At 37.9% G+C, this 9,763-nt stretch overlaps 1 protein-coding gene and 1 pseudogene across 6 annotated transcripts in view; both read right to left on the bottom strand.

The window, feature by feature from the left end:
* RN7SKP160 (RN7SK pseudogene 160) lies at nucleotides 286-624 on the bottom strand (annotated as a pseudogene).
* KLHL20 (kelch like family member 20) overlaps nucleotides 5,481-9,763 on the bottom strand; it is a 71,712-nt gene continuing 67,429 nt past the window's right edge. For all 6 annotated transcript variants that reach the window (XM_017001052.2, XM_017001053.2, XM_005245093.5 and 3 more), the window contains one exon: nucleotides 5,481-7,010. In XM_017001052.2, coding sequence (XP_016856541.1) covers nucleotides 6,926-7,010 — 85 coding nt within the window. In that variant the 3' untranslated portion in view covers nucleotides 5,481-6,925. The remainder of the gene's footprint in view (nucleotides 7,011-9,763) is intronic.

The raw sequence follows: 9,763 nt of genomic DNA, 5'->3' as shown, positions 1-9,763 counted from the left end.
ATGCTGTCTCACTGCCTTCCTTCTGTATATCTTACACATGCTGCTCTGCCTGGAATGTCCTTTCCACTCTTGTCCACTTAGCAAAACTATTACTCTCTTTCAAACCTTTCTCAGGCTTAACTTCTTTTCTAATCATTCTTACAGTCCACATCAGGGCAGACTATTGAATCGCTTCTGCTGGGCTATGTAAATAATTCAATTGTTGCATGTTTTATACTGAGATGCATTATGTAAAACATTACCTGCCTTATTACCTGAAGTTTGGTGGTTTTGTTTGTTTGTTTTAAAGAAAGGCAGACTGCCACATGCAGCAACTCACTTGGATGTGTCTGGAGTCTTGGAAGCTTGACTTCAAAGAACCCTACGTTCTCTTACAAATGAACCTTGAGAGCTTGTTTGGAGGTTCTAGTAGGGGAATGCAGCTACTTGTATACCCTTGACTGCAGACTGGCCTTCCTCTATTGGGGATGGCTGTCCTCTTCCACTGAGTGTGCACAGCTTCAAGAGGGAAGCACATGGAGTGGTGAGGGAGGAAGGGGACTCCTGCCTAGCTAGCCAGATCAGCCGAATCAACCCTGGCGATCAATAGAGTGACAGATGTCACAGTCAGATCGCCCTCATATCTGGCTGGCTTTTTTCGAGACAGGGTCTTGCTCTGTCAATGAGGCTGTAGTGCAGTGGTGTGATCATGCACTGGCCCAAGTAATCCTCCCACCTCAATCTCCCAAGTATCTGGGACCAGAGGCATGTGCCAACACACCCAGCTTTTATATATATATATATATAATTAAAATTTATATATAACATAATTTATATATAATATATAATTTTAATATATAATTATATAGTATATACATTTTATATTTTATATATATAAATTTTATATATATATGTAGTTTTTTGTAAAGACGGTCTCTCTTATTTGCCTAAATTGGTCTTGAATTCCTGGGTTAAAGCGATTCTCCCGCCTTGCCCTCTCAAAGTGCTGGGGGATTTTATTAATAGGTATGAGCCACCGCTCTAGGCTGATGATATGAGTCTTAAATTCCTTTTACTCTGTCAGTTTCTCCCTCTCCACTTTCTTTCCTTGCAATTCAATTTTTGGAGAAGCAAAGTTATTTGTCTTGTAAAGTTTCGCACTTTTGAACTCTGCTCATTGAATTGCTATGAAGTTAACACATTCCTCTGTTCCTTTGTATTTCCTGTAAACTGGAAGATTTAGAGCAGCAGTTCTCAAACATTTTTGCCTTGAGATCCCTTTAAAGTCTCAAAAACTTGAGGACACAAAGAGCTTCTGTTTACATGCATTACATCTAGTGATTTACCATATTAGAAATTAAAATTGAGAAATTTAAAAAAATTAGTGCATCAAAAATAAACCTATTTATGTGCTTTTTTTTTTTTTTTGAGACTGAGTCTCACTCTGTCACCCAGGTTGGAGTGCAGTGGCATGATTTCGTCTCACTGCAGCCTCCGTGTCCCAGGTTCAAGGGATTCTTCTGCCTCAGCTTCCCAAGGAGCTAACAGGCGTGCACCACCACGCCCAGCTAATTTTTGTATATTTAGTAGAGACAGGGTTTTGCCATTTTGGCCAGGCTGGTCTCAAACTCCTGACCTCAAGTACATCTGCCCACCTTGGCCTCCCAAGGTGCTGGGATTACAGACATCAGCCACCGTGCCTGGCCCAGACTATCATTTTTAAAACAAATTTTTTTATTTCAAAAGCAAAAAAATTACATTTTTGTATGATTCTTCAATATCTGGCTATATTAGAAGGCAATTGAGTTCTTACCTGCTTCTGCATTCAATCTTTTGCAATGTTATTTTGGTTGAAGTATGTCAAGAAAATATGGCTTACACAAATATGAAATTGGAAGGGGGAGGAGGATTTTAATAGCTTTTCTGATAATTATGGATATTCTTCTTGATATTACATCAAAACTTGACAAGTGACTGCTGAAATCTAAAACCATATCAATAGACCTTTCATATTGTTCCCATTAGATCTGTTGGTCTATCTTCTGCTTTGGATACATCTTAACCTGTGCATTAATCATTTAGAAAAACTGATTCCATGAATTATGCAGATCTTCCACATGTTGACACACTTCACTATACAATTAAAAAGGCATTCATCAATGTCATCAGCAATTTCATCATAAAAGTTTTTAAGTAGCTGTCAAGTTCATAGTCGACACAGCTTTCTCAAAATTGTAATTTTTCTCTTGAATATGGTTGACAATAAGTACTGTCGGTTGTGTTCCTTGAAATGGTAGCCTCATTTTGTTCATTTGAGAGAAAATGTCTGCTCAACACCCCAGTCTGAATGACCTTAATTTCTGTGTCCATCATTCTTTCAAAAAGTAGGTAGTTCAGCTTGCATCTTAAAACAATCTCAGAAGATTTTCTTGGGATGACCACTGTATTTTGGTTTGCAGCAGTGTTTTATGTATACTTCCCATTTTGTCATAAAATATTGAAAAAGACATATGTCCACAGGTTGAGATTTAGTAAACTAATAATTTTTGTTGCTTCATCAAGGGCATGCTTAAGCAAATTTACAAAACTCCAGGCCAGGCACGGTGGCTCATGCCTGTAATCCCAGCACTTTGGGAGGCCAAGGTGGGCGTATCACTTGAGGTTAGGAGTTCCAGACAAGCCTGGCCAGCATGGCAAAACCTCGTCTCTATGAAAAATAAAAAAATTAGCCGGGGGTGCTAGTGGGCGCCTGTATTCCCAGCTACTTGGGAGGCTGAGGTTGGAGAATCGCCTGAACCCAGGAGGTGGAGGCTGCAGTGAGCAGAGATCTCACCACTGCACTCCAGCCTGGGTGACAGAGCGAGACTCTGTCTCAAAAACAAAAACATGTAAAAACAACAACAACAACAAAAAGTCCTGCAAGTCTATGGTGGTGAATACTATGTCTAGTTGTACAATTTGATTTATGCTTTGATTTATGCCTTGATTTATGCTAAGACACCGGCAGTATTACCCACCATAGCTTTTGCACCATTAGCACAAATGCTACTACAGTATAAAAGGCAGAAAACTTAGTTTTACTAAGAAAATAGTTTCAGCCGGGCGCGGTGGCTCACGCCTGTAATCCCAGCACTTTGGGAGGCCAAGGCGGGCAGATCACGAGGTCAGGAGATCGAGACCATCCTGGCTAACACGGTGAAACCCCGTCTCTACTAAAAATAAAAAAAAAAAAATTAGCCGGGCGTGGTGGCAGGCGCTAGTAGTCCCAGCTACTGGGGAGGCTGAGGCAGGAGAATGGCCTGAACCCAGGAGGCGGAGCTTGCAGTGAGCCGAGATCGCGCCACTGCGCTCCAGCCTAGGCGACAGAGGGAGACAATGTCTCAAAGAAAAAAAAAAAATAGTTTCGACTCATGGATACTTAGAAAGATATTGGGGACTTGGCTGGGTGCGGTGCAGTGGCTCACGCCTGTAATCCCAGCACTTGGGAGGCCAAGGCGGGCGGATCACCTGAGGTCTGGAGTTTGAGACCAGCCTGACCAACATGGCGAAACCCCGTCTCTACTAAAAATACAAAAAAATTAGCTGGGCCTGGTGGCACATGCCTGTAATCCCAGCTACTCGGGAGGCTGAGGCAGGAGAATCGCTTGAATCTGGGAGGCGGAGGTTGCGGTGAGCCGAGATCGCACCATTGCACGCAAGCCTGGGCAACAAGAGCGAAACTCCGTCTCAAAAAAAAAAAAAAAAAGAAAAAAGAAAGAAAGAAAGATACTGGAGACCTCAGGGGTCCACAGACCATACTTTGAGAACCACTCATACAGAGGCTTGATGAAAAAGGCTTAAAACTAAGCTTTTTGAAAGCAGGGGCTGTTCCTGTTTAGAAGTCCAAGGGTTCACTGATCTAAATTCACCCTGAAGATATGTGTCCTTTTTTCCTAGGAATTCAGGCTTAAACAGTCTTTCTAGGATAGGGGTATTAGTAGGTTACTGTTATTGGAATAATCCCAAATATTTTATGATAGTTCAGTGAATAACCATCCTTTCTTTTTTACATTTAAAATAATCTAAGTTCCTAACCTTACACAGCTAAATAATTGAAAGATCAATATTAAGGACATGTAAGACAACTTAGTTGAAGAGTTTTGTCATTTCTTGGGACCATTCTTTTCAGTCATTTCCAGCAGGGCCCTCAAAGCAATTTACAGAGCCATTTCTCACAATTGGGCAGACATACTCAGGTTTAGTGGGTCATTTTTGCCTCCTGCTGCTTCTTTCTCTCCTCTTCTGTATTTCTTTCCTTCTTGCATTTTTTTCTTTGCCCATCTGTTTCCTCAGTTAACATAAAGTTTGAAAGGTTCGTCCCCTACTCCGTCACATCTTGTTCAGGAAAGACCCCTTTTACACAGTGGTCAAGAAGTATTATCTGCAGTGTGAATATCTGGAGGTAAAACATGGAACAAAGCTGGGAAGCAATCAAAAACAGGAATGGGGGAATGTGTATAGAGCACAAAGGATTTACAATCAGGGGCTATAGATTTAAGGTTCAGCTCCTACCATGTCATTTTAACTTTTCTAAGCTTCAGTGGACTTATTTATGAAATGAAAATGACTGCCAATCCAACCCCCATTCCAAACTTGAGTTGTGGAAAAAACTATGCACACAAATTAATAAACATTCTATTTTACAGCAACACCTTTAATACAATACATTTCAATCAATAATAAAACTGGAGTGCCTTCAGTGGAGGGGGAAAAACAAACCCCTAACAGGCTCCAATGAAGACTGGCCAGTGCTGTTAATTCCTGGGTCTCTACTCTTGAATCAATGCCCTGTGAATTGCTCCCACTGGGGACTTCCTGACTAATGGAGAGTCTAATCCCTAGTTTTGTTCTTGCTATCAGTGATAATGCTATCATCACTCTCTTTTGCCTCAGATGTATGAAGTAGTAGAGTCTTGGGAAATACATGATTTTGTCTTGAAGACTGATTGTTAATGATGTACTACAGTGAGGATCTCATAAAAGTTTTTATACTTTTTACATGTTAATACCAGACTTAATTAAAATACTTAAGGTCTTTTATTATATTTAGTTTCAGGTAAACCTATAGTGGCAGTGTGGCATAGAAAGAGGAATGGACTGGGAATTGAGGAAGCTGATTTCTAATGTTGGTTCTATCATTAATTGACTATTTATTCTTAGGCAGACTTTGTGGTTTTCAGACTTGGATCAGTGTAATAAGTGGGTTTGGACTAGATGATTGTTAAAGAGTCCTTCCAGCTCAAAATTGTATGAGTCTAAGTCCTACCTAGAAAATAAGTTTATAGGTTAGGTAATATAACATATAAAAATATATAATGAAAATTCCTATTAATTCTAGCTGGCAATCCTTTTATTCAAGTTGAAAGCACTTGTAACTTTACATACAGATAAAATAAATTATATAGAAACAGAAATTCCAAATTAAATAACAAAAGTACAAGGATAAAAAGCATTAGCTAAAATTTTTTTAATGGTAAATACTACCTTTATTTAAAAAAGTTATACATGCTAGAAAAAAGCATAAATGATATATGTAAACAATTGTTTACTCAATACTTTTTTTCCTTGAAAAAGGTGCAAATGATCTTTAAATGTAAACACAAAGTTGCCAAACATTTTTGTAGTTGGGGAAAGGGAGAAGGAGGTTATTCCTTTTAAATGCAGTTAGTCTTATTCAAAGATTTTTCTTGCAAAATATATTGAAAAAAATTTGTCTATGAATACAATGAGGAAAAAAAACTTTAACCATTGAAATTATTTTTTCCTTAAAAATTTTTAACTTTTTACCAGAAAGTGCAATTTGAGAGAAGTAGTAACAATGACCTTATAGAATGAAGATAATGATACATTGTTTGTATAAAAGAACCAAGATATTAATAAAATGCCTCAATTGATTTTACACTCTTTAATGTGTGCTATTACATTAACTGAATAATTCATTCCCTTGGAGGCTGTTATTAAAGGTAAGCCTCAGCTTAACCAGGCCTGAGCATCAAGAATAAATTGCATAACAGAATTCACTGCTGGGAGAAGACATTTCTCCCTGCTGGTCCTTGGTAGCAATAAGGAAACAGGAAGGACAGTTGCTTTAGTCAGTAACATTTTTGAGCAAAAACTGTTGCAGAGCTGCATGTGATTCTCTTGGATTCTCAAGACAGCATATGAGACTTATATATTGTTTTTATAAGAGGCACTGAGCAGAGCTCTAGATCTAGCAGAAACTCTATGAGAATATTATGAAAAAAAGACTAAATAAACAAGTTCATATAGAAAGAAACAAGACATAAAATTACACTGATGAAAACTGTAGTGTCTGAGTCCTGGTTTTTATTGATTTAGTATCCCTTCTGAATTGTACTATTTAAAATGAGATGTTGCCTTTTCTTGTTTTTTTGTTTTTTTTTTTTAAGATTTTCAAGTCTTCTGGTGGTTAGTGCGAGAATAATGGGTAGCTAATACATTTTGCATACCTACCTTTATTCCTGGTAATCCTTGTTAGTGGAATCATGTGGATGGAGTGTCTAGAAATAATAGCCAAATCATATATAGCCCTTCTGCCCTTATTAAATAGTATTTTCAAACCTAAATGAATACCTTACAAACAAAGTAAGTTTTGCTGCTTGGAATTTTTTCTTCTTTTCTTTTTTTGTGGGAGGAAGGATAAGTTCAAAACGAAAACAACAAAAAACCATGATAAATTAAAACCAAAAATAAATATTCTTCTGCACAGAGTTGAAAATTATTGTGCATCTTGCAGGTGAAGTACTTTCATTGGATTGTATTTCCATTTGTTGAGGCACCGGCAAATAATAAAATTTGTTCTAATGTTTTCTCAAGCTGTACAAAGCTCCAAGGTCAAAGCTCCCCAGAATACAGAGGAATATATACAAGACTGTCTTCTCTGTGTTCACCAAATATGGGATTCACAATGTGTCATTTTAATAACTCCTACGCCACCCCCTAGCCGACGGTAATTCATCCCGCCATATAACCTGCAAAGAAAGAAACATAATCATATTTTCTAACTGGAAAATATGTTACAACTAAGATGTTATTAACTACGACTAAGATGTTATTAACACGTTTCTATGTTTTATATTACAACTAATATTTTCAGCTTCACACTAATATTGTCTTCATTCTAAAGATTAGAAGCTGCAATTGAGCACTGTTGAGTAGCAGGACTGTTTCAGAGATTGACTGACATGCTCTCACTCATAGGAGGCTGTGTGAAGAATAAGAGAGCATCATATTCACGTTTGGCATCAGAACTTTACAACTGTATACCTCACTGACTTCTAACGGTTACACAGAATTATATATTCTACATTTTCAAAATTTTGCCCCTGGCTATATTATTGTCCCACCTATGTTTTCCCTTTGCCTAAAATTCTTCAATTATTTATTTTTATCCCTTTGTCTTATATGTACTCTGTAAGCCTCTTCAAGTCCTTTATAGAACAAAACCAGATTTGAGTAAAGTCAGCATCTAGTTTGTGACAAGATCATCTTCAAAATTAAGGACTTTCCATGGAGAAGAATACTAGACCCTTATCAGCTATGAGGTAGAGTTGGTTTTTAAGTCTTGGATATGTAACTGCAAATATTTAGTTATTAATCTTTCAACAGATGATCCTCAATAATTTCATGACTATTACTTTGTCATCTATTACTAATTCTATTTAGTGACAGTTACTAAGAAACAAGTCCTCAGATAAGATTATAGTGATTAAGTGACAGTAAATTTGGCTGTCTTCAGAAATTATGCTTAATCAAAATTCCTAGTAAAAATAGAAAGCTGTATATGGAAGAAAATATCCTGCCAGTGAGAGGCCCAAAGCTGCCATTACCTATCCTTTACCGTATTTAGGTTTTGCTAAAATGCTACCTTTCCAATGAGGCCTTCCCTGAACACCTTTAAAAACAGATTCCCCTCCCTGTACTCCCTAGCCCCCTCCCCTGCTTTGATATTTGCCACAGCACTTCCATCTACTGGTATGGTACTGTTTGTCTCCCTCAATACAATTGGTTAGCTCCAGCAGGGCAAGGAACTTTTTTGTTGTTTTGTTTTGTTTTGAGACGGAGTCTTGCTCTTCCACTCAGGCTAGAGTGCAGTGGTGTGATCTCGGCTCACTGCAACCTCCACCTTCTGGGTTCAAGAGATTCTCATGCCTCAGCCTCCCTAGTAGCTGGGATTACAGGCGTGCGCTTGGCAGGAATTTTTGTTGTTGTTGTTCAGTTTTGTATCCCCAGGGCTCGGAGCACTTAGTAAATCTTTTTTTTTTTTTGAGACGGAGTCTTGCTCTGTCACCCAGGCTGCAGTGCAATGGCCCAATCTCTGCTCACTGCAACCTCTGACCCCAGGTTCAAGTGATTCTCCTGCCTCAGCCTCCCAAGTAGCTGGGATTACAGGTGCCCACCCCAATGCCTGGCTAGTTTTTGTATTTTTAGTAGAGACGAGGTTTCATCATGTTGGCCAGGCTGGTCTCGAACTCCTGACCTCAGGTGATCCGCCCACCTTGGTCTCCCAAAGTGCTGAGATTACAGGCATGAGCCACCGTGCCTGGCCATCAATAAATCTTTACTTAATGAACAGGACTGTAAAAATGTGATGTAGGAGCAAAACGTACACGCTGTTATTAGCCTGACTTTAGTTTTGTGACCACTGAGTCATATGGAGCTGTGAGACATATGTAGGATCCAAAGCATGTCACTTAAATCTCTGTGAGAGTTGTGGCTTTCCTAGAGATAGACTATTAGAATACAGTAAGAAAGGACTACAAGACTGCCTCTTTTAGAATAGTAACAATAAAACAGAGCTCAGCTTATCCTTCATGGTCATAAGAAAAATTTCCCAGAATGTCTGCTGCCTCAGCTCACATGTCCAGCCTGATATTTCTGGTTGATGTGCAACCTTAACCACTGAGATGGTAACCCTAAACTTGCTTAGGCAAGTAAGCCCATTTTATTGAGAAGGAAACCCCAAATTGCTTGGAAGGCAAAACTGTTTTCTTAGAAGACTAGTATTTAGAATTAAGTACAGATATGCCATACATCAAACCCATAGTATTGTTATTTTTAAAGTTTGAGAATAAACTATGTGTTTTGCATTTTAAGTTCCTGTAGTGTTTAAGAGAATTTGGCTTTTTAGGGCATCTATAAGATTACTCTTGTGATTCAAGTATAAAATATGATTGAGTAAAGATTTAGACTTAATTATTTTAAGTTTAAAGGTTTAAGAGAATTTTGCTAAGTTTGTAAAGGTTCTTGAATATTTAAAATAAATGCAAAAGTCACCTAATTTATGTGAAATTATAAAAACTACTTAACTACTTAAGAAAGCTTTATTAGACAATTGAGGATTTAAAAGCAAAGTAAAATTAAACCTAGAAATGAAGTTTAAGTTAAGCTCTCTTAAATAAGATGTAGCCTCCTCCCTAAAAGTTAAAATGGCTTTAAAAATGAAATATTATTTTTCAAATATTAATTTTTCAAAAGTAATTGCAATTTGTTTCTCCTAGGCATAGGTTTCCCACAAGAACACCAAAAAATGGCATGGACAGATTTGGAGCCAAAGACCTAGGTTCTAATTCTAACTCTGTCACTAACTCACTTAGGCAGGTCATTTTATTTCTCGGTGCTTTTGTTTCCTCAGCTGAACATGATGGGACTAGGAAGATTTTTTTTCCCTATTTTACCCATCTCTAATTATAAAACTGGACAGTTACTGAAAAGGAGAATTTTG

The sequence above is a fragment of the Homo sapiens genome, chromosome 1 (genome assembly GCF_000001405.40).
Source record: "Homo sapiens chromosome 1, GRCh38.p14 Primary Assembly".
NCBI lineage: Eukaryota > Metazoa > Chordata > Mammalia > Primates > Hominidae > Homo > Homo sapiens.
The sequence above is the reverse complement of the archived record's forward strand: the minus strand, read 5'-3'. Positions and strand labels throughout refer to the sequence as shown.